Source organism: Homo sapiens, chromosome 18 (assembly GCF_000001405.40).
Source record: "Homo sapiens chromosome 18, GRCh38.p14 Primary Assembly".
Lineage (NCBI taxonomy): Eukaryota > Metazoa > Chordata > Mammalia > Primates > Hominidae > Homo > Homo sapiens.
Genome location: NC_000018.10, coordinates 37,192,296 through 37,219,887, shown reverse-complemented (window position 1 = coordinate 37,219,887; position 27,592 = coordinate 37,192,296). Strand labels below are relative to the sequence as shown.

Sequence of the window (27,592 nt, the reverse complement as noted above, 5' to 3'; positions counted from 1 at the left end):
GCATTTCCAGCTGAGGTACCTGGTTCATCTCATTGGGACTGGATGGACAGTGGGTGCAGCCCACAGAGGGCAAGCCGAAGCAAGGTGGGGCATCACCTCACCCAGGAAGCGCAAGGGGTCGGGGGACTTCCCTTTCCTAGCCAAGGGAAGCCATGACAGGCAGTACCTGGAAAATAGGGACACTGCCACCCAAACACTGCGCTTTTCCAACAGTCTTAGCAAATGGCACACCAGAAGATTATAAACCACACCTGGCTCAGTAGGTCCCATGCCCACGGAGGCTTGCTCACTGTTAGTGCAGCAGTCTGAGATCGACCCGCGAGACAGCAGCCTGGCAGGGGTAGGGGCATCTGCCATTGCTGAGGCTTCAGTAGGTAAACAAAGCAGCCAGGAGGCTCAAACTGGGTGGAGCCCACCGCAGGTCAACGAGGCCTGCCTGCCTCTGTAGACTCCACCTCTGGGGGAAGGGCAGAGCTGAACAGAAGGCAGCAGGAACTTCTGCAGACTTAAACATCCCTGACAGCTCTGAAGAGAGCAGTGGTTTTCCCAGCATGGTGTTTGACCTCTGAGAACGGACAGACTGCCTCAAGTGGGTCCCTGACCCCTGTGTAGCCTAACTGGGAGACACCTCCCAGTAGGGGCCGACTGACACCTCATACAGCTGGGTGCCCCTTGAGATGAAGCTTCCAGAGGAAGGATCAGGCAGCAATATTGCAGTTCTGCAATATTTGCGGTTCTGCAGCCATCTGCTGGTGACACCCAGGCAAACAGGGTCTGGAGTGGACCTCCAGCAAACTCTAACAGACCTGCAGCTGAGACACCTGACTGTTAGAAGGAAAACTAACAAACAGAAAGGAATAGCATCAACATCAACAAAAAGGACATCAACACCAAAACCCCATCTGTAGGTCACCATCATCAGAGATCAAAGGTAGATAAAACCACAAAGATGGGGAGAAACCAGAGCAGAAAAGCTGACAATTCTAAAAACCAGAGTGCCTCTTCTCCAAAGGATCACAGCTCCTCGCCAGCAATGGAACAAAGCTGGACAGAGAATAACTTTGACAAGTTGACAGAAGTAGGCTTCAGAAGGTTGGAAATAACAAAATTCTCCAAGCTAAAGGAGGATGTATGAACCCATCTCAAGGAAGCTAAAAACCTTGAAAAAAGATTAGACGAATGGCTAACTAGAATAAACAGTGTAGAGAAGACCTTAAATGACCTGATGGAGCTGAAAACCATGGCAGGAGAACTACGTGACGCATGCATAAGCTTCAGAAGCTGATTCCATCGAGTGGAAGAAAGGGTATCAGTGACTGAAGATCAAATGAATGTGTAACGCCTAACCTTGTTTTTTACTCTAGCTCACTACTTTAAATTTTCCTTTTTTTGTCTCCTTAATTGCCAGCCATGTTTCCCATATGAATACACTCTCCCTGGCTGGGAAAGCCGGACAAACTCCATTTGACCTCTTGATTTACAAGACATTAAGGGCTCCTTACCCAACCCCCTTCCTTAAGGAGTTAACCTGTGTAAGCAGATCCTCAGCATTTCAAAGGAGCCCAATTAACTGGTAAGATACTGGAGCAAACAATGTATGAAGTTCCCAGGGTTTTGCTCAAAGAGATAACAACACAAAGCCTTGAGTTCCTGTCTGGCATAGCATTTATATCTAACTATAATGAAGGATTTAGAGCCTTGCACCTGGTACCCTTGCTCTTTTTGTAACCATTTGTCTTTTAAATTGTTCATTTCTCTGTAACCATTTGCTTCTTTTGATTCTTGCATGTTTTTACTTCTGTAGAGTTATTGCATTTAAGTCCCCCTCCCCTTCCTAAACCTAGGTATAAAAGTTAAGCCCCTTCATCGGGGCCAAGAGAATTTTGAGCATTAGCCATCTCTTTGGCCGCCGGCTTAAATAAAGGACTCTTAATTTGTCTCAAAGTGTGGCATTTTCTCTAACTCCTGTGGCTATAACAAATGAAATGAAGCAAGAAGTTTAGAGAAAAAAGAGTAAAAAGAAACGAACAAAGCCTCCAAGAAATATGAGACTATGTGAAAAGACCAAATCTACGTTTGATTGGTGTACCTGAAAGTGACAGGGAGAATGGAACCAAGCTGGAAAACACTCTTCAGGATATTATGCAGGTGAATTTCCCCAATCTAGCAAGGCAGGCCAACATTCAAATTCAGGAAATACAGAGAACACCACAAAGATACTCCTTGAGAAGAGCAACCCCAAGACACATAATTGTCAGATTCACCAAGGTTGAAATGAAGCAAAAAATGTTAAGGGCAGCCAGAGAGAAAGGTCAGGTTACCCACAAAGGGAAGCCCATTGGACTAACAGCTGATCTCTCGGCAGAAACTCTACAAGCCAGAAGAGAGTGGGGGCCAATATTCAACATTCTTAAAGAAAAGAATTTTCAACCCAGAATTTCATATCCAGCCAAACTAAGCTTCATTAGTAAAGGCAAAATAAAATCCTTTATAGATAAGCAAATGCTGAGAGATTTTGTCACCACCAGGCCTGCCTTACAAGAGCTCCTGAAGGAAGCACTAAACATGGAAAGGAACAACCGGTACCAGCCACCGCAAAAACATGCCAAATTGTAAAGACCATCGATGCTAGGAGGAAACTGCATCAACTACGAGCAAAATAACCAGCTAACATCATAATGACAGGATTGAATTCACACATAACAATATTAACCTTAAATGTAAATGGGCTAAATGCCCCAATTAAAAGACACAGACTGGCAAATTGGATAAAGAATCAAGACCCATCAGTGTGCTGTATTCAGGAGACTCATCTCACGTGCAGAGACACACACAGGCTCAAAATAAAGGGATGGAGGAAGATCTACCAAGCAAATGGAAAGCAAAAAAAAAACAAACAAAAAAAAAACAAAAAAAAAGCAGGGGTTGCAATCCTAGTCTCTGATAAAACAGACTTTAAACCAACAAAGACAAAAAAAAAAAAAAAAAGAGACAAAGAAGGCAATCAAAGAATGGTAAAGGGATCAATTCAACAGGAAGAGCTAACTATCCTAAATATATATGCACCCAATACAGGAGCACCCAGATTCATAAAGCAAGTCCTCAGAGAGTACAAGGAGACATAGACTCCCACAAAATAATAATGGGAGATTTTAACACCCCACTGTCAATATTAGATAGATCAACGAGACAGCAGGTTAACAAGGATATCCAGGACTTTAACTCAGCTATGCACCAAGCGGACCTAACAGATGTCTACATAACTCTCCACCCCAAATCAACAGAATATACACTCTTCTCAGCACCGCATCACATTTATTCCAAAACTGACCACATAGTTAGAAGTAAAGCACTCCTCAGCAAATGTAAAAGAGCAGAAATCACAACCACGGTGCAATCAAATTCAAACTCAGGGTTAAGAAACTCACTCAAAACTGCACAGCTACATGGAAACTGAACAACCTGCTCCTGAATGACTACTGAGTAAATAACAAAATGAAGGCAGAAAGAAAGATGTTCTTTGAAACCAACGAGAACAAAGACATGACGTACCAGAATATCTGGGACATATTTAAAGCAGTGTGTAGAGGGAAATTTATAGCACTAACTGCCCACAAGAGAAAGCAGGAAAGATCTAAAATCAACACCCTAACATCACAATTAAAAGAACTAGAAAAGCAAGAGCAAACAAATTCAAAACCTAGCAGAAAGCAAGAAACAACTAAGATCAGAGGACAACTGAAGGAGATAGAGACACAAAAAACCTTCAAAAAATCAATGAATCCAGGAGCTGGTTTTTTGAAAAGAAACAAAATTGATAGACCAATAGCAAGATTAATAAGGAAGAAAAGGGAGAAGAGTCAAAGAGATGCGATAAAAAATGATAAAGGGGATATCACCACCGATTCCACAGAAGTACAAACTACCATCAGAGAATACTATAAACACTTCTAAGCAAATACACTAGAAAATCTACAAGAAATGGATAAATTCCTCGACACATACACCCTCCCAAGACTAAACCAGGAAGAAGTTGAATCCCTGAATAGACCAATAACAGGCTCAGAAATTGAGGCAATAATTAATAGCCTACCAACCAAAAAAAGTCCAGGACCAGAAGGATTCACAGCCGAATTCTATCAGAGGTACAAAGAGGAGCTGGTACCATTCCTTCTGAAACTATTCCAATCAATAGAAAAAGAGGGAATCCTCCCTAACTCATTTTATGATGCCAGCATCATCCTGATACCAAAGCCTGGCAGAGACACAACAAAAAAAGAGAATTTTAGACCAATATCCCTGATGAACATCGATGCAAAAATCTGCAATAAAATACTGGCAAACCAAATCCAGCAGCGCATCAAAAAGCTTATCCACCACGATCAAGTTGGCTTCATCCCTGGGATGCAAGGCTGGTTCGACATACGCAAATCAATAAATGTAATCCATCACAAAACAGAACTAAAGACAAAAACCACATGATTATCTCAATAGATGCAGACAATGCCTTCAACAAAATTCAACAGCCTTCATACTAAAAACTCTCAATAAACTAGGTACTGATGGAATGTATCCTGAAATAATAAGAGCTATTTATGACAAACCCACAGCCAATATCATACTGAATGGGCAAAAACTGGAAGCATTCCCTTTGAAAACTGGCACAAGACAGGGATGCCCTCTCTCACCACTCCTATTCAACATAGTGTTGGAAGTTCTGGCCAGGGCAATCAGGTAGAGAAAGAAATAAAGGGTATTCAATTAGGAAAAGAGGAAGTCAAATTGTCCAGGTTTGCAGATGACATGATGGTATATTTAGAAAACCCCATCATCTCAGCCCCAAATCTCCTTAAGCTGATAAGCAACTTCAGCAAATCTCAGGATACAAAATCAATGTGCAAAAATCACAAGCATTCCTATACAGCAATAACAGACAAACAGAGAGCCAAATCATGAGTGAACTCCCATTCACAATTGCTACAAAGAGAATAAAATACCTAAGAATACAACTTACAAGGGATGTGAAGGACCTCTTCAAGGAGAACTACAAACCACTGCTCAATGAAATAAAAAAGGACACAAACAAATGGAAGAACCATTCCATGCTCATGGATAGGAAGAATCAATATTGTGAAAATGGCCATACTGCCCAAGGTAATTTATAGATTCAATGCCATCCCCATCAAGCTACCAATGACTTTCTTCACAGAACTGGAATAAACTACTTTAAAGTTCATATAGAACCAAAAAAGAGCCCGTATTGCCAAGACAATCCTAAGCAAAAAGAACAAAGCTGGAGGCATCACGATACCTGACTTCAAACTATACTACAAGGCTACAATAACCAAAACAGCATGGTACTGGTACCAAAACAGAGATATAGAACAATGGAACAGAACAGAGGCCTCAGAAATAATGCCACACATCTACAACCATCTGATCTTTGACAAACCTGACAAAAACAAGAAATGGGGAAAGGATTCCCTATTTAATAAATGGTGCTGGGAAAACTGGCTAGCCATATGTAGAAAGCTGAAACTGGATCCCTTCTTTACACCTTACACAAAAATTAATTCAAAAAGGATTAAAGACTTAAATGTTAGACCTAAAACCATAAAAACCCTAGAAGAAAACCTAGGCAATACCATACAGGACATAGGCATTCGCAAGGACTTCATGACTAAAACACCAAAAGCAATGGCAACAAAAGCCAAAATAGACAAATGGGATCTAATTAAACTGAAGAGCTTCTGCACAGCAAAAGAAACTACCATCAGAGTGAACAGGCAACCTACAGAATGGGAGAAAATTTTTGCAATCTACCCATCTGACAAAGGGCTAATATCCAGAATCTACAAAGAACTTAAACAAATTTACAAGAAAAAATCAAACAACCCTATCAAAAAGTGGGCAAAGGATATGAACAGACACTTCTCTAAAGAAGACATTTATGCAGCCAACAGACACATGAAAAAATGCTCATCATCACTGGTTATCAGATAAATGCAAATCAAAATCACAATGAGATACCATCTCACACCACTTAGAATGGTGATCATTAAAAAGTCAGGAAATAACAGGTGCTGGAAAGGATGTGGAGAAATAGGAACACTTTTACACTGTTGGTGGGAGTGTAAACTAGTTCAACCATTGTGGAAGACAGTGTGGCGATTCCTCAAGGATCTAGAACTAGAAATACCATTTGACCCAGTGATCCCATTACTGGGTATATACCCAAAGGAGTATAAATCATGTTACTATAAAGACACATGCACATGCATGTTTATTGCAGCACTATTCACAATAGCAAAGACTTAGAACCAACCCAAATGTCCATCAATGATAGACATGATTAAGGAAATGTGGCACATATACACCATGGAATACTATGCAGCCATAAAAAAGGATGAGTTCATCTCCTTTGTAGGGACATGGATGAAGCTGGAAACCATCATTCTGAGCAAACTATCACAAATGCAGAAAACCAAACACCGCATATTCTCACTCATAGGTGGGAACTGAACAATGAGAACACTTGGACACAGAGCGGGGAACATCACACACTCGGGCCTGTTGTGGGGTGGGGAGAGCGGGGAGGGATAGCATTAGGAGAAATACCTAATGTAAATGACGAGTTAATGGGTGCAGCAAACAAACACAGCACATGTATACATATGTCACAAACTTGCACGTTGTGCACATGTACCCTAGAACTTAAAGTATAAAAATAAAAAAAATTACAAAAAATTTTTGTAATCTCATTTGCTAAGAGTGACTGATGTTGCTTTTAATTATATCACCTAAAGTTGTTAAAAGTGTAAATTCTGATGACCTAATAAATGAGTTTGGGCTGGGCACAGTGGCTCATGCAGTGTGTGCAGTGGCGCACGCCTGTAATCCCAGCACTTTGGGAGGCTGAGGCAGGTGGATCACTTGATGTCAGGAGTTTGAGACCATCCTGGCCAACATGGTGAAAAACCCCATCTCTACAAAAATACAATTAGCTGGGTGTGGGGGCTCGTGCCTGTAGTCCCAGCTACTCGGGAGGCTGAGGCAGCAGAATCGTTTGAACCCAGGAGGTGGAGGTTGCAGTGAGCCAAGATTGTGCCAGTGCACTCCAGCCTGGGCGACAGAGTGAAACTCCATCTCAGAAAATAATAAATAAATAAAATAAATAAATTTGAAGGAAAGTGAGCCAGAAAAACTTAAGGTTAATCAAGTTATCACATTAATAAAGTATTATTATTTTATCACATAAAATTATGATACCCAAAATACAATTTTTTGCTATCTGTAGTTTTTAACCATCCATATATTACTATTACCCTTCATGCTTTATCGGTGTCCTTTTAAAGGAAAAAGCTTTATATTCTAGCACCTTTAATTGCACTTTTTCCTTCTTCTTTCTGAACAAGGGGCCCCACATTTTCATTTTACACTGGTCTGGCAAGTTATGTTATTGGCCCTGCCCTCAAGTCCTAGGCAAGATTCGACTACTTTCTCAGGCATGGAAATGTCATGACATTTTCTATGGTATGAAAATCTGTAAATTCAAATCCTTTCTGGCAGATTTTTCTTTTGCAGCTTTTATTGTCACAGAATGAAGGCAATATTTCAATACAGTTATCTGTCATTCAAAACAATGGTTTCTATGTTCAATCAACACATTCTTTGTTTAAGGTGTAAACCAATGACTGGAGTACTGCTTCTAGGAAATTTTGCTTATAAGCAGGACAGACCTACTTCATGCTCAAGGAATGAGCTTTGTTTGAACTTTCCTTTGACACATATGAAAATCTTGTGGTATATCCATCTCTTAATATATAGATCATTAAATGTTTTTTAAAATCAAACAATGGAAAATCTACACTTTTCTATCCAATTTCATGCTTAAAATAGCTAGGGGGGGATACTCTGAGTGAGAAAATAATCTGCTGCTTTCTCTATTAAAAAATAGAGCCAAAATAATTGGGAAACAGTAAATATATCAGAAATAAACCTTTTAGAGGTGCAAACTGAAATCCAGAGCAACAATAAGAATTTGTGTTTAGTTTAAAGACTGATACAATAGGCACCAACATATTCAATCATTTGAAAGAGAACTGTGGGCTTCAAATTCTTTCTGAGTACTCATTACTATGAAATATAGTAAAAAAATTTATAACATGGAAATAATGACCCACCAAACTATAGAAAATTAGATCTGACATATTAGGATAAGTTATACAATAGCAAATTACCTTCAGAATTCCAATGGCTTAATACAGTTCAATTATTTTTCATGCTCATCCTGTACACTTAAACTAGGTCCAGGCAGACAGTGGTTCCATCGCCTAGAATGTGGGCTTCTCAATTGTCTTGGCAGGAAAAGAGACTGAAGAACTGTGCACAGGCTTTCCATAGCATGCAAGTGACAAAATATTCCTTATATCTGACTGGCCAGAACCCAGTTACGTCTCTCCAGAAGGAAAGGAGAACTGGATATTGGCAAACACTACTAATGCCTGCCCATGGAGGAATGAGTCTTAGACATAATTTGGAATAATTTTCTTATTTTATTGATGAGGAAACTGAGGTCCAGAGAGGTATAAGTGAACTAAATGGAGTCACAGAGCAAGTGAGTGGCAGAGCCAAGTGGTTTTTAACCCAGGCCCCTTGACTTCCCAGACTAGAATGTCTTCAATCTTTCCATCAAGAAAAGTAAGAGGTGACACTAAAGCAAAAGCAAAAGAAGGTTACTGTTACCAACTACATTTTATTTTAAAAGTATAGCGTAACTAGTTGTAACTGAGCTATCTTTTCCTCCAACAAATTAATCTACTCAAGTACAAATGTTTATCTTTATGATTATGCTGTTATCTTAAAAATTCCACTTCTCTCTCTAGGAGCCACATTCAATCATAGATTAGACTGTGGCAGAAGAATCAGAAAGTGTGTGGTAAGCAGGGCTCAGATTTCAGTTGTACCTCATTGCTAATTTTGTTCAATAAGTTTATTGACAGTACTTTTGTTATCAGGAAAGACTAAAGGATTTGGCAATTAAGAAGCAACAGAATACCCAAGATTATTCCAAAAAGCAAAGCTTGAGAAATGACCCAATTTAATACAAGAATTATATATGCAATAAAGAAAAATAAAAAATGAATTCCTATGGGATTTTACACTAAATGTCAGAAAAGAGCAGTGCATTTATCAGGTGTCTTCTGTGAGCAGTGTGTTTTACTCTGCTAAGGAGACATGTGATAGGAGACTATAAAGTTGATTAGCTTGGCCTGATCCTGCTGGGGCTGTGTGGTAGTCAAATAATTTAAAGGGACACACAACTTATCCAGACCCATAAAGTACCATCCCTTGAAAAACCCAGATGATGTTTTAGCCATAGGTATTAACTATATTGGCCTGTCTTACCTCTGTACTTCACAGAGCCAGTACGCATGAGTTACCTAGGCACACAGGCTGAATGTAATAGCCTCATTAAGGAGAAGTGATAAACAAAAGGCTTATCTGATCTGCTATGCCAGTCCCATCCTGGAGGTAATTTGGACCAAGCTGGAGTGGCATTAATTCTGTCTTCCTAGAGCTCTCTTTCTAGTTTCGTTTACCTCTGAACTAGCAAGATAACAAGACAAAATCCAGAGGAGGACGTAGCCTCTGCTGATTTGACTTGACTCCACGTTACCAATTCAAGAAAGGCCAGTTTGACATGGTGTCCAAGAACATTAGCACATGGCCTAGAAACAAACTGATTTCAGGGTCCATCCATGGACTGCAGCTGATGAGAAACTAACGATGTTACTGGACCTTTCCCCTCCCATTTCCTTTTTTGATTTTTTGTGATTTCAGTAGACATCTCCTGATTTTCCTTCCATACCACCAACATCCTCTTCCTCTCTTGCCTTTTAAATGAAAGAATGCCCCAGGGCTCAGTCCTTTGCTCTCCTATCTTAGGTGATGCTATCCATTCTCATGGGATTTAATAACATCTATATGTTAATGATGGCTAAATGAATAGCTCCAATATCAACCTTGCCCCTGAGTTCCACACTCACATTCCCAACTGCTACCTGATATCTTTACTTGGAAGTGTAATGGGCATCTCAAACTATCCAAAACAGAACTCTTTTTTTTTTTTCTCTGAATCCCACTCCTCTCAATCAACCCAGTGGCTCAGGCCAAAAACCTGCTGTTATTCTCAATTCTTACCTCTAGGCCTTTGCATGTGTTTCACCCTCTGTGTAGGATGCCTTCTTTCAGATCTTTGCTTGCTCTCTCCATTCAACAACGTCTTTGTTTAAATGTCACCTCCTCAAAGAGGCCTTCTTTAGCCACTCCATCCAAAATAGCCATCAATCCACAGTCACCTTATTGCTTTATGGTTTTTATTTTCTTTGTATCACTCAATACACACACACACACACATACACACATTATATATATATATAGCCTATTGCCCCAACGGTATGGGCTCCATAAGGGTAGGGTCGTTATTTATTTATTGCTGTTATCTCCATGCAAAACATGGTATCTGGCACAAGGTAGGTGCTCAGTATTTGTTGAAAAACAAAAACAAACAAACAAACAAACAAAAAACACAGGTCTTACGGCTTAAGGCTCAGCACCTTCCGTGGGCAACTTTTTAAAAATCTTTAGACAGCTCATCAATTTATTTCAAAGATTCTGAAAAGTGTTACCCATCCATCAATTCTTCTTTTACAAAAAAAGGATGCTTACACATATGATGTGTGCAAATTACTTTTTTTACTTAATATATTGGGACCATTTTTCCATATGATATTTTTACATTATCTTTAATGACTTCAGATTACTTCACCTCCTGGATGTGCTCTGATTTACATTAATACAACCAATACCCTGTTAAAGAGTACTTAGGTTAGGTCCACAAGTCCTTCAAGACTAAATCAACTGTCTCTTGTTCCTTCAGCCAATTCCCAGAAGGTACTTCCCATTCCAGTCCATCATAGGTTAGCAAGCTACTGCTAGTCCCATGATGTTCTGTAATATCTCTCCCTTTATTCCCAGCCTTCCTCCTCACTCCCATTGCTTCTGGAGCTTTTGCTTCACAATATACACTGCTATATTGTGCACTCTTTTTAGATTATACCTTCTATCTCCTAGCTTTAATTGAAACCTGGCTCTTTCTTCAGGTCAATGCTTCCTTTACATCCGTCTGAGTGGAAATCATTTATATTAAACATGTGCTATATATTTCAGGGTCAAGAGGTAGGACTGGAATCATTTCTTTTGGCCAGTCTGTCATTATACTACTATTTTCCTTGAGGATCCTGTCGTCTGCTCTGTCATCCTCAACTTCTCTTCATCTGTGAACACACTTTCTCCCAATTACTGAAGATGTTAACACCTGATTCACAATATTCGCCTCCAATTTAACCCTGACCATCATCCCTGCTAATGTCAGCATCACAAGAATGACACTCAGTCAATATTCTGACATCTTAGTTTTTTGACCTTCTCTCAATTCAAAAGACTTTAGTGGCAAGCCTTTCCCATAGTCCTATCCTAGAACTTGTCATAAATTAAAACTACATCTCTTCTGAATTCAGCAACTCAAATATCCCAAGTACTTTCTGATGCCCATAGATTATCCTTCAAGCTTGGTTTTTCAGCCATTCCTACTATCTCTGCCTGCTGGTCTCACCAGACCAATGTAGGGGGAGGAGGGAAGGTGGTAAAAAGAAAAGAAAGTTTTATCTGAGGAATGTGAGCTCCTTTAAATTTAAATTTTAAAAAGGTGAATTCTGGCCAGGTGCAGTGGCTCACATCTGTAATCCTAGCACTTTGGGAGGCTGAGGCAGGAAAATCACCTAAGGTCGGCAGTTCGAGACCAGCCTGGCCAACATGGTGAAACCCTATCTCTACTGCAAATACAGAATTAGCCAGGCATGGTGGCACATGCCTGTAATCCCAGCTACTCGGGAGACTGAGGCAGGAGAATCGCTTGAACCCAGGAGGCGGAGGTTGTGGTGAGGTGAGATCACGCCATTGCACTCCAGCCTGGGCAATGAGCGAAACTCCATCTCAATAAATAAATGAATTTATGAATGAATGAATGAATGATGAGTTCTCTTGCACCACAGGCAATTGCTCCCTCTGACCCATTCACGTGCTCCAGGTGACTGGAGAGTTTGCAGAGATGTTTGGGCTGTAGCCTAAGATGTGAAGTGGCCTCACAGGGCATTCCTCACCAAAAGAACATTTTTAGGGACTCCTCCCTTTAGGGACTCTGGACCCTCATACCTCTGAGCATTCTGCTGCCACCTGGCAGTTAAAGAAAACCCAAGACACATAAGAGGGCGATTTACAACTATTGGGTGACACCTAGAGGAGTGATACTCCTAAGCAGGACACTTTGACCTAAAACATATACATGACCTTGGTCACTTTTGAAAAGTTCCTAAATTATGGGAAATCAAGCTTCAAAATCTGAGCACTCTTTTTAGAAATGCTAGCTGGGTTTATATATAACACTTATGGGATGTCATGTTGTAAATATCTAGGAAAGTCAGGAACGACCTAACCAGGGGTGGTCATAAGCTGCAATAGCCAAAATGGGGATCTTTTGAAATGGCTAAAACAATTTATTTGCATGCACAATTGGAAAAAAGGCTAGTTTTAGAACCAGACAAATTGATGGGGGACGTACTTCCAATGTCATCTAGAAACTTCTCAAAGAAGTTTTGAGAAAATTGACTCAAGGTAAACAAAGGATACCTGAAACTATTTCTGAATTAAAACAGACTTCAGAGGCTTTCTCCTTTTTACCTCCAACTACTCTTTCTTTTTCTACCTTTTTGCCATCATATTCTCTCTTATCTGAACTCCCCTGTTCTGATTTGCCTTTCCACTTATCACCACTGCCTAAGGAAACTCTCCAGGTCTTTTCTAAAAATGTAGCTTGGAAAAGAATTCAGCATTGTACTCAAAGGTCAGATGAATCTGTACTTTATTATTTTCAAAGGTTTGAAAAAACCTTTAAGCAATATTCTAGATGGCTGGTGCTAGCCTCCAAGATCACCAGAATGATTTCTTTATAAATTCTATTTTCCTCAATGGCTTAAATGAGGACTTGGTTATCTTAGTTAAAAGACACCAGCTTTATTGGGTGAATATATAAATACCCATGAGTTTTTAAGCTTGGCAGATCAACTTTCTAAAACTATTCAGAAAGAAGAAAACACTAAGGCCCCAGAGATCATGAATTTGCAACTACAACAACTACCTAGTCAAACGAGGCCTTTTAAGAAAAGATAGGTGCCTCTTTCTAATGATCAAAGAGGTGCTCGCTTCTATTACAAAATGCCTGGCCATTTCAGACAAGATTGTAGAAAACTTAAATGACAGCAGGAACAAAAAGACAGGACCCCCACAAGATGAATAGGGTTGCTCTCTGAGGATCCAAAGGGGGCTTTTTGCATTTCTGACTAATACCTAGGAGAAACAGAAATTGTTATAAATAGAGAACAGATATGTTCCTCATAGATACTACCATAGGGCTACTACCATAGGGCTACTCTTTCTGTCCTCAACCCTACCACCTTAAACCGTCCTCTTCCTCAGAGTAATGAAATTATACAAATGGCAGGGGTATCTACTCAATGTATGAGTGCATACAAATCCCAAACCTTAGAATTCCAGGTAGGCTCACTCAGTGGTCTTCTTTCCTTTCTGCTTGTTCCCTTGGCTCCCAGATGTCTCTTAGAGATTTGTTTTGGAATTTTACAATGTATACATTTCCTTCTCTCAAAAGGGGGAATATATTTAAATTAGGAATAGAAGGAGCAAACAGAACAACTACAGAATGAGAATGAAGTTACTGAGAAATACAGATCCAACAAATATTCTTCTAAGCAAGGACTAAGGAATGATACCAATGATTTACTGCAAGCTTTGCCAGACCATTTATGGTCTCAATATTCCACTGAAATTGGTAACATATATTCAACCACCCCCATTAAAGTAGAAGTAAACCTGAGTAAACCTTTACCCAATATTAGACAATACCCTTTTAATGCCCTGCTGGACCTCATGGTCCCCTATAGATGTAAATCTTAGCATGTGCTTGAAACATTAACATTTGGGGAATTAGTTAAGCAGCATTCCAGCTGAAATCAGATGGAAAACCGAATTAAAATTATTTAGGCCACCACAACATTCCTTCTCTCAGTGGATATCTTTAGTTCAAGAGGGAAACATTTATAAGAATTAACTTGCATTATTTGTTTTAAATTATTTGCATGACTTTTGACCTTTTGGAGTACCTATTTGTGTCCTTTCTACTGAAGAAAACCGAACTGTTCCTCTCTAAAATATGGGGGATTATTGAGCTAAAAATGTTGAAAATGCATGGGAACATTCTGTCCCCTCCCTTGTTTGTCTGATGGCAGGACAGAAATTTAGAAAGAAATGGGTTTTGTTGCCTGTCTTTTCCCACCTAAAGAGAGACCCCTTTATAAGGCTTGCTTATTAGCTTAGAGACAGCCCCAGAGAATCTAGGAGCAGACTTTACTCTTCCCATAAACTTACCTTCTCACATTTTCCCACCTTTGGCACTATCCCCACGGCAGCTTTTGTTCTCCTGTTTTACTGCCTCTTTCAGTCCTCCTTCTGGCCTTAATGTGTAGTCAGTCAGTCAGCTGAGGAGCTGAGATCCCAGATGATATGGTTGGACAGAAATGTGGGTTGTACCCCATTTTTGGCTAGTGAGACTTTGCTTTCTTTCAGCTGTCTTTGGGACTGTTTCTGGATCTATTGAGGACTGCACTGCACCTCTTTGGAGATGACTTGTGCGTCCTTGGTAAAGGCATAACCTTGGTTAAGGCTTATTGGTTTTGTTGAGTCTCTTGAGAAGGTGCCTTTGGTTTAAAACAACAACAACAACAACAACAAGGTCAAAAGCCATAAATAGTGGTTGTTTGTCCTGGCTGAATTCTGATAAAGAGATTTTAAAAGAATTTTAAAAAAAGCTCTATGCTCAGAAGTCAGCTTAATTAAAAGCTGATATTCAGGGTATACTTTTTTTTAAAGGCCTTTCTGCATTTTCTCTTTTGGATCCTGTTTCTTGAGAGGTGTTTTTTTTTTTTTTTTTTGACTGAAACTCCTTTTTAATTATGTGTTTGGTCTCTCTGCTTCCTTTCATATTGATATGATTTTAGTGAAAAAAATATAAAACTTCACTGGCCTTTTGGAAAGCTTAAACTCTTTCTCTGTGCTTTGAAATATAAATTTACTACCTTATGCTCTAAAACTCAGTAAGGGCTTTGGCCATGTGAGACTTTAGCCTGTTCCATTTACAAATGCACAGTTTGAATCCAACTATCCTTTTAAACTGGGGAGTTTTAATGGTTTTATGACTAAAAACTTAAAATCAAAGCTATAAAGTCTTTGTATTTTTATGTATACCTGTGTACATGTCTGTTTGTATATTGTCTATGATACCAAATTGACTTATAAATAAATGAGCATTCATAAATAAGCCCAAATACTTTTCAAGTTCACGTGACTTAGTAATCTTTGGTAAATAAAACTAGTTTAAAAATTGTTAGAATAAAATAGGCATGTTTTCTGAATTGTCAGTATTAAATATAATTCAAACATTTTGCCTGAGTCTACTGGTTTGACAGGTTTAGGTTGTCTCTGCTAGATGTTTTAAGGTCATAAAACTCTTGCTTCTCTGGTATTTTTAGATACGTCCTTGTCTGTGAGCTTATGTCTTAAAGCTCTCTTAGAATCTAGGTTCACCGGCCAGGCGTGGTGGCTCACGCCTGTAATCCCAGCACTTTGGGAGGCCGAGGCGGGCAGATCACAAGGTCAGGAGATCGAGACTATCCTGGCTAACATGGTGAAACCCCATCTCTACTAAACATACAAAAAAATTAGCTGCGTGTGGTGGCGGGCGCCTGTAGTCCCAGCTGCTGGGGAGGCTGAGGCAGGAGAATGGCATGAACCCGGGAGGCGGAGCTTGCAGTGAGCTGAGATGGCGCCACTGCACTCCAGCCTGGGCGACAGAGCGAGACTCCGTCTCAAAAAAAAAAAAAAAGAATCTGGGTTCTAGGTAGGTAGCCATGGAAAGGCCTGAGGGCATATGTATGACCACAGCACCTAGGCCAACAGCTGCAGGGCAAAGCCAAACCAGTATGCCCTCCCTGGCCTGGCTGTGCCTCCTGGCCATGCTGGGAAGGGTCAGATATACCAGATGTTATCCTCACAGACCTATCTTTTGTCTTGGGCTCTGTACCTGGTACTTAACATTAAAATTGCATACTTCCTAGGCTTTTCACTGAAAATTAGGGTTACTAGGAGTTAACCTTGTAATTAATATATGTAATTAAAACTACTAAAAAATAGAAACATTCTATATACAGAATATATAAGAAAAGTCAGATGTGTTTTTGGTAAGAAAGGTTATAAGAAAGACGAGGATTTTTTTTGTAATTTATAAGTTATTTAAAGGTTACTTTAAGTTGAAGCAATAAAAAAGGAATGATAGATAAAACCAAATGGATATAGAAAGTTGGGGAAAGAGAATGGGAAAAACTATAAAAGTTTATAAAATGTTTATGAAATGGAAAAAACTATAAAAGGTTTATGAAAATCTTATCTTGTGTGGTCAGAGCTGACTGAGATTGGGTGGATCTGTTTATAAGGTTTTGTTAAAATTAGTTTTAATATTAACAATACATTGATATGAAGGTAGAATTTAGTTTTCTCTTTTGAATATGATTTTCATACAGCATTAATAAGATATAATAAAAGATTTTGGTTTACCTTTTGAGTAAACTTTAAAAAAAAAAAAAGGAAAAGGGGGAGAAATAGATTCTGTTTGTGTCATGCTGTATTTATTAGGTCTCTTTGATTGTTGGGAAAACTGAGTCTCTTCTCTGTCCAAGAGTAAAGGTTTTTGCTTTTTGAAATCTTTGAATTATTGCTTTGGCTAAATGAATAATCATTAATTTATAATGACCTGTGATCTTACTTTTGATATCAAATGTTTTAAACCTTTGCTATTTGACATACTTCCCCAAATCAAATTTACGTTAAAATCATGCAAGACACATTGTCAAATAATAATGGTGTTTAACCTTGAGTCATATTTATATAAATATGTTATTAATATGCATTCCAAAATTGTATGATATTCTTAAATTCTGATATGTCTTGGTATATGTCATCAATCATATTGGTGATGATTATATTAAACTGTTGTTTGCCACAGAAATCACCAAATTTCCTTGTTAATTGTGTCTTTAACCACGGCTACTCTAAGTCTTTCATCATCCAGTGACAATTATTGTTTTACTATGATTCTTCCCAAAAAGTGGTTTACAGTTAGCTACAGTCCAAAATTTGCTTTTTCTTCAAGGAAATTCATGGAAAAGACACTGACAAGTACTCTTGAATACAAGTTTGTGATAACTTTGGAGATCATACCATTGGACCAGGTAAAACCCTTCAGAACTCTAAATAAAACAAACAAACAATAACTACAACAAACTGATGGGTTTACAAAGATTACCAACCCAATATAAAGCAGAGCAGGAATTAATTACATAGGACTGAACTGATAGAGGACTGAAATAATTTTGTTATAACCTTTCATTTGAAACACTTCTGATTCTTTTTATATTTGTTTTTTTGGAATCAAGAAAATTTTCTTTTGAGCCATTCATAGCTTAAAGCAACTGGGTAAAGTATGCTTTTGTTAAAAAAAAATGGAAGCATTTACCTTTCTCTAGGCCTGATTTCTCCAGAATTTGGAAATTATTCATGAGTATTCTTATTTTATGGCAATATAGTTGTTCACATAAGTTCAGTAAGAATGTGTTCTCTATTGTAACAGGTCACAATTGGAAATGCTGGTTATTTCACCAAGGCGTTGACGAATATCATATTTTTAAATGTGACCAGACTGTTTTGAGGAAATGAGGTTGCTTTTAGAAAGCCAACAGACTTGGTAAAAGACTGGTCCAGTACCTTGTCAATACAGTTCCCTGATACAATACAGAATCCCTACAAGGTTCCTGACCTTGAGATAAGTAAATAATGCCACTTTCTGATAGGCCAGGAATCTCAAGATATTCTGGGGACCTCAAGAAGAGTTCACCTATTTTGTACATGTATTACAGGCACAGTCTGATGGTGAATCCTTGGCTTTGCTTCTTAGCCTTGAGAGGTTTTTAAAAGTCTAATCTAAAATTCCTTATTAAAAAGTTCCAGTAAAGCCAACTTAAAAGAATACTATACGGCCAACCACTATTCTTACTGCCCTTTATGCAAACAATCATACCAGGTATAGTAAGACTAAAACTTATTTTGCAAATAAGCTGGCCTTACTATGACTTCTCTTTGGTAAAAAAGGGGAACTGGAGAGAGAAAAATTATATTTCAGAAGAAAACTATAACATACCTGTTATAGATTCCAGCCCTGCTTTTATTATTTTTCTACAATTTAGACTGAATCCTGAATTATTTCCTGGCTACAAGTCTCTAGAAAAAAAAGAACCTGATTTAAATTTTCTTTATGATGTTTTTTCATTGGCACCCTAGTAGAATAGATTATTTTTCCATTTTAGCATACAGATTTTCTTTTTGATTGTAACCTTGTGTGCAATGTACTTCTACCATTCAAATTACTAATGTTATGTATCTCTCATTGTTTTACTTTTGAGAAAATTATAATCATGGAATTATAAAGACTAAAGATGTTTCAACAAGCAAGAGCAGTGATATAGATCAAAGATTTCACTAAGATCTTTTTGCCACACTGTGATGTCATCCCAATTTAGATTTTGGGTGCTCCTAAAAATTCCTCACTGAGACATCTCCCCTTCCCCCTTGACTTGGGATGGGACTAATCAGAAATGAACCCTCCTGGCTATAAGAGACACCTTGATACTAATATTTTGACAATCAATGCTTTCAAGAAGAAAGATTTTTGATCAAAAGGGGGAACTGTGGGTTGGGGGAGGGAGAGGGAAAGAAGACAAGAAATTTTTATCTGAGAAATGACAGCTCCTTTTTTTTTTTTTTTTTTTGAGACGGAGTCTCGCTCTGTCGCCCAGGCCGGACTGCGGACTGCAGTGGCGCAATCTCAGCTCACTGCAAGCTCCGCTTCCCGGGTTCACGCCATTCTCCTGCCTCAGCCTCCCGAGTAGCTGGGACTACAGGCGCCCGCCACCGCGCCCGGCTAATTTTTTGTATTTTTAGTAGAGACGGGGTTTCACCTTGTTAGCCAGGATGGTCTCGATCTCCTGACCTCATGATCCACCCGCCTCGGCCTCCCAAAGTGCTGGGATTACAGGCGTGAGCCACCGCGCCCGGCCGACAGCTCCTTTTAATTATCGGGCCCAGAGAGGCACTGGAATGAAAGAGAAGTCATGTGACCCTTGGGCTAAATAATCATCTCTTAAAGCCACTTGCTAGGTGGACTCTAAATTAACAGACACCAAGAAGCCATAAAATGCTATACACTGGATACCATAACTAACACTCTACAGTTCAACAATGTATAGTCAATCACTATTCGATGTTATCAATGAGAATGTAAACCAATGAGAATTCCTGTCAAACAACTTTGTATCAGCCCGCTCATTGTTTCTTTTGCCTTTAAAAACCTTCTGGTAACAACTAGTAATGGAGCACTCCCCAAGGCAACTTGGAGGTGTGTCCTGGGCAGCTGTCCTCACTTGGCTCAAGTAAACTCTTCAAATTGTATGTTGTGCCTCAGGCTCTTCCTTTTAGGTTGGCAGCATTAATTCAAACAGAGATTGTTCTAAAAACTGGGAATAAACTGGTGAACAGGATAGCCAAAATCTCTCCCACTGGGACATACTTTCTTCTCAACGCTTCATCCAACTTATACCTTATCTAACTTAAATTTCACGGTTCAGCATTCCAGTCATTCTTTTTAAAAATGTTCTTAAAAACATGTCCTCCATGAAAAGACACTTCTCAAAAGAAGACATACCTGTGGCCAACAATCATATGAAAAAATGCTCAACATCATTGATCATTAAAGAAATGCAAAATCAAAACCACAATGAGATGCCATCTCATACCAGTCAGAATGGCAATTATTAAAAAGTCAAAAAATAATAGATGCTGGTGAGGTTGTGGAGAAAAAGGAATGCTTTTACCCTGTTGGTGGAAGTGTAAATTAGTTCAACTATTGTGGAAGACAGTGAGGCAATTCCTCAAAGACCTAGAAACAGAAATATCATTTGACCCAGCAATGCCATTACTGGGTATATACCCAAAAGAATATAAATCAGTCTATTATAAAAACACATGCACATGTTGTTCATTGCAGCACTATTCACAATAGCAAAGACACGGAATCAACCAAATGCTCCTCAATGACAGATTGGAAAAAGAAAATGTGGTACATAAACACCATGGAATACTATGCAACCATAAAAAGGAATGAGATAATGTCCTTTGCAGGAACATGGATGAAGCTGGAGGCCATTATCCTTGGCAAACTAATGCACGAACAGAAAACTAAATTCTTCATGTTCTCACTTGTAAGTGGGAGCTAAACGGTAACACATGGACACATAGAGGGGAACAACACACACTAGGGCCTACCAGATGGCAGAAGGTGGGAGGAGGGAGAGGATTAGGAAAAATAGCTAATGGATACTAGGCTTCATACCGAGGGGATAAAATATTCTGTACAATAAACCCCCATGACACACGTTTACCTGTGTAACAAACCTGTACATCCTGCATATGTACCCTTGAACTTAAAAGTTAAAAAACAAAAAACATGTCCTCTGTCTTCTTGATCTCTCTCCCCAAATATGGCAAAGACACAACACTGGAGAAATCCAAATATCTTTCTTTTCTGTGAATTATAGTTGTGTAAGTTAGTGCAGATAAAATGAAAACAAAAACAAAACAAGCAAACAAAATCAGGTCCAATATAGACACAAAGTCACCAATCTTATGTGTGTGTATTAAACAGTTTCAGACAAAGTGACTAAATTTCTTGAATCAGCTGTTTTGCTCTCCTCATTTCCCCATTTCACTATTTACCCTAAACAGATGGCCTTGCTTCCCACTTCAGAGAAAGCAGAGGTCATCAAACAGAAATTGCCGTTACACTATCAAATTTACAAGTCTTTCATTTTGGCACTCATCATTTCTTCCTTTTACATTGAAGGACATGATCCTTCTCTTAGATAAGGGCAACCACTTTCTTTGTGCTTCTTAGGAACCTTTTAGTAATGCATATCTGCTCTAGAACTTTCAATATTTTATTGCTTACTGGATAACCAAGAGCACTTAAGAAGTACTCTCCTTTCCATAACCAAACCATTTCTCAGTTGATTCCAATCTGGCTTCTACCTTCTACCACTCCAATAAAACTGAAATGATCAAACTCACCAATGACCTCCCTGCTGCTAAATCCAATAGATTTTTTATAGTCCTTATCTTACATAATGACACTGCAGCATACAATGTGGCTGCATCACTTCTTTATCTTATGAACTTTAAACTGTTTTGTTGAAGTAAAACATAGAGAAAAGTATATCTATTTAAAGTATGCAGCTTGGTGATTTTTAGTTTATTTAGAGTTGTGCAACTATCACCATAATCTAATTTTAGAACATTTTCATTGCCCCCAAAAAGACACGTTGTACCCATCAACAGTCACTCCTTACTCTCAAGCCCCTCTCAGCCCTAGACAGTTACTAAACTACTAACTGTCTCCACAGATTGGCCTGGACATTTCATATAAATAAAATCATATACTATATGGCCTTTTGTGACTGGCTTCTTTCACTCAAGGTTTATCCATGTTGTAGTATGTATCATTACTTCATTCCTTTTTGTTGCCAAATAATACCCCACAGTATGAACACACCACATTTTATTATCCATTCATCACATGATGGACATTAAGTTGTGTCCACCTTTTTTCTACTATGAATTGTGCTGTTATGAACATTCACATATAAGTTTCAGCATGGACATCTATTTTCATTTCTCTTGGGTAGACATCTTGGGGTGGGATTGCTGGGCTACATTGTAACTGTATGTTTAGCCTTTTAAGGAGCTTCCAGAGTGTTTTCCAAAGTGGCAGTACCACTTTACATTCTCATCAGTAGTGTATGAGGGACCTATAAATATCAGTATGTGGAAATGTTTTTCTTGGGGCCATTAAGCTTCTTTAGAAAAGAATCCTTCAGTATTCTGCAGAGAGGAAGATGTGGTCTAGTTCTGCAACAGGGAAGGAAGCTAACCTTTCAATTTATAGACTTTGAATTAATCTCATTTTCAGCCCTCTCATCTTCCAAAGTACACAACATTCCTGAGTCTTTTCTTCTCTGTTTCTCCAGAAAATTAATATTCTGCCTGGGACTAATATCCCATATATGGAATGGAAAATGGCCATAGTGGCAACAGGATTGGATTTTTTTATTCTTGCTTTAAATTTCCACTTCATACCATTTTTGCTTCTACCCCACACTTTCCATTGTTCATGTTGCTCCTAAGTAGAAGGAAATAAATAATAAGGTCCGAGCAGAAATAAATGAAATTGAGACAAAAAATTTTTAAAGATCAACAAAACAAAAAGTAGGTTTTTAAAAAAGATAAACAAAATCAACAAACTTTTAGCTAGATTAAGAAAAAAAGAGAAAAGACCTAAATAAATAAAAGCAGAGATGAAAAAAGAAACATTTTGCATCCCAGCAGGGCTCTGGGGGAAAAAACCAAACAGACAACTGACACCACAGAAATATAAAAGACCATTACAAACAATTATGAATGACTATAGGCCAATAAACTAGAAAACCTAGAAGAAATAGAGAGGTTCCTGGACACATACAACATGCCAAGATTAAACCATTTATAGAAAACCTGAACAGATCAATAATAATTAATGAGATTGAAGCCATATTTATATGGCTTTTTGTAAGTCTCCCATCAAAGAAAAGCCAAGAATCTGATGTATTCACTGCTGAATTCTACCAAACATTTAAAGAAGAACTAATATCAATTCTACTCAAACTATTTCAAAACATTGAAGATGAGAAAATATTTACAGTAATTCTGCAAGACCAGCATTACTCTGATACCAAAACCAGACAAAGACACAACAAAAAAAGAAGACTACAGGCCAATATCCCTGATAAACATAGAAGCAAAACTCCTTAACAAATACTAGCAAACAGAATTCATTAAAAATATCATTCACCATGATCAAGTGAAATTCATCCCAGGGGTGCAAGGATGGTTCAACATACTTGATTCAATAAATGTGATATATCACGTCAACAGAATCAAGGATAAGAACTGTATGATTATTTCAATAGATGCTGAAAAGGCATTCAATAAAATTCAACATTTCTTCATGGTAAAAACCCTCAACATATTAGGTGTCAAACATACCTCAAACTAATAAAGGGCATATATGACAAGCCCACAGCTAATATCACTAATATACTGAATGGGAAAAACTGAAAGCTTTTCCACTAAGATCTGGAACAAGACAAGAATGCTCACTTTCACCAGTTTTATTCAACATAGTATTGGAAGTCTTAGCCAGAGCAATTAGACAAGAGAAATAAAGGGCATCCAAATTGAAAAGGAAGAAATTAAATTCGCCTAGTTCACTGATGACATGTTCTTATATTTAGAAAAACCCAGAGACGTCACCAAAAACTCTTAGAATTGACAAACAAATTTAGTCAAGTTGCAGGATACAAATTCAACATTCAAAAATCAGTAGTGTTTCCATACTATAATAGCAATCAATCTGAAAAAGAAACTAAGAAAGAAATCCCATTTACAATAGCTACAAAAAAATAGGAATAAATTTAACCAAAAAAAGAAAGATCTCTATAAGGAAAACTATAAAATACTGATGAAAGAAATTGAAGAGAACATTAATAAATGGAAAGATATCCCATGCTCATGGATTGAAAGAATTAATATTGTTAAAATGTCTACACTACTAAATGTGATTTACAGATTCAATGCCATCCCTATCAAAGTATCAATGATGTTCCTCACAGAAATTTTTAAAAATCCCAAAATTCATATGGAACCACAGAAGATCCCAAATAGCTAAAGAAAGCCTGAGCAAAACAAAAAGCTGGAGGGATCACAACTAGCCAGTATCTAACTTTGAATCGTACTAAAAAGCTATAGTTACCAAAACAGCATGGTACTGGCATAAAAACAGACACATAGACTAATGGAACAGAATAGCAAACCAGAAATAAATCCACACACTTACAGCCACTCATTTTAGACAAGGGCATCAAGAATACATACTGGGGAAAGGACAGTCTCTTTAATAAATGGTGTTGGGAAAACTGGATATTCATGGGATCTCCATCTTTCACCATATACAAACATCAACTCAAAATAGATTAAATACTTAACTGTAAGACCTGAGACTTGAAACTATTAGAAGAAAACATTAAGGAGATGCTACAGGACATGGGTTTGGGTAAAAATTTTTTGGGCAAAACCTCAAAAGCATAAAGCAATAAAAGCAAAAATAGACAAATGTAATTATATAACACTAAAGAGCTTCTGCACAGCAAAGGAAACAACAAAGTGAAGGCTAGGAAGGGAAGAGGGTGGAGTAGGATGAAGAGAAGTTTATTAATTGATACAAAATTGCAGTTAGATAGAGGAATAAGTTCTAGTATTCAATAGCACAGTAGGGAAGTTATAGTTAACAGTAATATAGTTCAAACTAGCTAGAAGAAAAGAATTGGGAATTCTTTCCCACCACAAAGAAGAGATAAATGTTTGAGGTAATGGATATCCCAGTGACGCTGATTTGATCCTTATACATTGTATATATGTACCAAAATACCACATGTACCACCCAAATATGTACAACTATGATATATCAATAAAAAAGCAACCATAGGCTGGGCGCAGTGGCTCATGCTATAATCCCAGCACTTTGGGAGGCCAAGGTGTGTGGATCATGAGGTCAGGAGTTTGAGACCAGCCTGACCAACAGGGTGAAATCCCATCTCTACTAAAAATACAAAAATTAGCTGGGCGTGGTGGTGCACACCTGTCATCTCAGCTACTCAGGAGGCTGAGGCAGGAAAATCGCTTGAACCCGGGAGGTGGAGGTTGCAGTGAGCCGAGATCCCGCCACTGCACTCCAGCCTGGGCGACAGAGACTTTGTCTCAAAAAACAAAACAAAAACAAAACAAAACAAAGCAACCATAACAAACTATTATAGGAATAGATGCAGAGTGAAATAATTAAAGATAAATCTATAACCAGTTGAAAGACCAAAAAAATCATTTGTATGGGAGAATTTTCTGCCTGGAAAAAATGCTACACAACCTATGTTAAAAGACTAAAAACAAGCTTGGAAAAACATTTTGACATATTACAAAAAGGATTACTTTCTTCATATGTAACAAGCACCTATAAATAAAAAAGAAAAAGACTAATAACAGTGGAAAGTGGACAAAAAAATAGAATACTTTGCAGAAAATATAAATGACTGAAACATAAAAGTTTATTCTTTGCAATTGTAACTACAAGATACTATTTTCACTTTTCAGACTGGCAAAGTACCAAACTTTTTGATTACATTGTAAAAGGTGTCAGAAAATAGACACTTTCAAATATTGTAGATGATACATGAGTTGTACGGCCTCTATTAAAACAAACTGGTAACATCTATCAAAATTTAAAATGTACTTATCTATGACCCACAATTCCATTTCTAGGAATTTATCCTACAGATATCCTCACACATGTATAAATGATATATATAGGAATATTCATTGCAGCAGTGTTTGCAATCACAAAAGAGTGAAAATAACTCAAATATCCATTCTAGTCGACTGGTTAACTGCATTGTGGTACGTGCATATAATGGAACACTGTGCGGCAACTTAAAAGAATGAGGTACATGCATTCATCTATACAGCTAAGACTGTATATGCATAATTATCCCTGAAAGGACATGCGGGAAACTAGGAGTACCTATATCCAAGAAGGGTAGAAGGGTACTTGGTTGAGAGACTGAGATGTGAGGAAACCCACTTTTCAGAAAATATACCCTATGAATTTGTTCTTTTAAAATAAGGCAAAAATTTTCAAAACAATTCAGTTTTCTGTTTCTCACAAGTGAGTATTTAACCCAGCTGGACATGAAATACCTTAATAGGTTCCTTCCATAATCCGTGTAGCCTAGCATTTTGTCTAGGAGAACAATATGAAGAAATGATTTGAAAGGAAGCAGATCTTTGTGGAGATTCCTGGGCTAGGAATAAATAAATTAAAATGTCCATGAGTGGTTCAAGGATTAAATAGGTTGTTAATATTCATCTGAAATTCTGAAACTGTAAAAGTTTTTCCTGAGTCTCAAAGTTTTTTCTTAACCTTTTTGGTAGCAACATTTGACCTAACTCTAATTTACATGGTAACAAAATCTGACCCAAACTGATGAGACTATACTCTTTGTTTATTCCATTTAATATGAATAATCACACATTATGCTGTAACCCATATGGTTTATGTATATGCTACCTTTTAAAAATTGAATTCTGAAATATATTTCAAAATTAGACTAGAGACTAGAACTGATTGGCTCCAAGAGTTTTGGATGAGGGACTGTAGGCCTGTATCGTTTTTCACCCCGGCTGTTAGTCCCAAGTTAAGTCTTCATACATATTATCATTAATATAAATAACTTTCCAAAAGTTACTCTATCCTCTTCTTCAACAATGCCCACCAATCAAGGTTCATGGCATGCTTGCTCTTGGCTTTTTTGTTGTTCTTTGGGAGGTTTGGTGAAAGACTATCACTGTGCAACAATGAACTTGATCTCAGAGATTTTGATATGAAAAGCAAATTTGGGCAAATTTGATAATTTGTGCAAGTATAAAAATAAAATTATTTAAGAAGAATTTCTTTTCTTCCTTTATTTCTTTTCTTCCTGTGTGCAGACAAAGCTACAGATATATTTTTAAAAATTACCTCCTTTGATCCCCATGCCTGTACTTCCAAATACTGGGAAACTTAAGATATCTTAATCATTTTGTAGCATCTTAATCACTTTGTGAAATTATGATGTTAGATAATGGCCATTTAATATAAGATGTTCTATGGAATTGTAACTTCCTACTAATTGTTAATTAAAGCCTAATTAGTATGGCTGGAAGGCAGTATGATAAGTGAAACTTACAGATCCTAACCTTGATTGTACTGAGAGACAAGCACTGTTGGACAGCTTGGAGTCAGAGAATATTACTTGCTAGGCTCCAGCAGGAAAAGCCGTAAGCTGACTGCTGGAGAATATAGTGTAGAAACCAAAATCATGAGAAAGAAGTGCCTGCTTTGTAAATTCTATGAGGTCAAAATGATGCTAGTTACTCTGTTCATCAGTGTGCACTTTAGAGAGTTCAGGGTGCATATGGATATACATCCATTCCATTTTATGCTACACATTATTGAAAGCACATTCCATAACATAAATAATTCATCAGTGCAGTTTGAAGTTTAAGATTACAAAATAGAATGGTAGTGTTCTATTTTACAATTTTTTACACTTTCAAA

General features: G+C 37.9%; 1 protein-coding gene across 23 annotated transcripts in view, besides 2 other annotated features; it reads right to left on the bottom strand.

Moving 5' to 3' along the window:
• The window catches only part of KIAA1328, a 403,046-nt gene that overhangs the window by 12,285 nt on the left and 363,169 nt on the right, over positions 1-27,592 (bottom strand). The gene's annotated exons all lie outside the window — the stretch shown is intronic.
• Positions 856-1,374: an enhancer, noted in NCBI's record as "OCT4-NANOG-H3K4me1 hESC enhancer chr18:34798477-34798995 (GRCh37/hg19 assembly coordinates)". NCBI's record gives its function as "activates a minimal SCP1, AML or CMV promoter by ChIP-STARR-seq in primed H9 embryonic stem cells {active_cell/tissue: H9 hESC(primed)}" and the evidence as "EXISTENCE:reporter gene assay evidence [ECO:0000049][PMID:30033119]".
• Positions 1,375-1,893: an enhancer, noted in NCBI's record as "OCT4-NANOG hESC enhancer chr18:34797958-34798476 (GRCh37/hg19 assembly coordinates)". NCBI's record gives its function as "activates a minimal SCP1, AML or CMV promoter by ChIP-STARR-seq in primed H9 embryonic stem cells {active_cell/tissue: H9 hESC(primed)}" and the evidence as "EXISTENCE:reporter gene assay evidence [ECO:0000049][PMID:30033119]".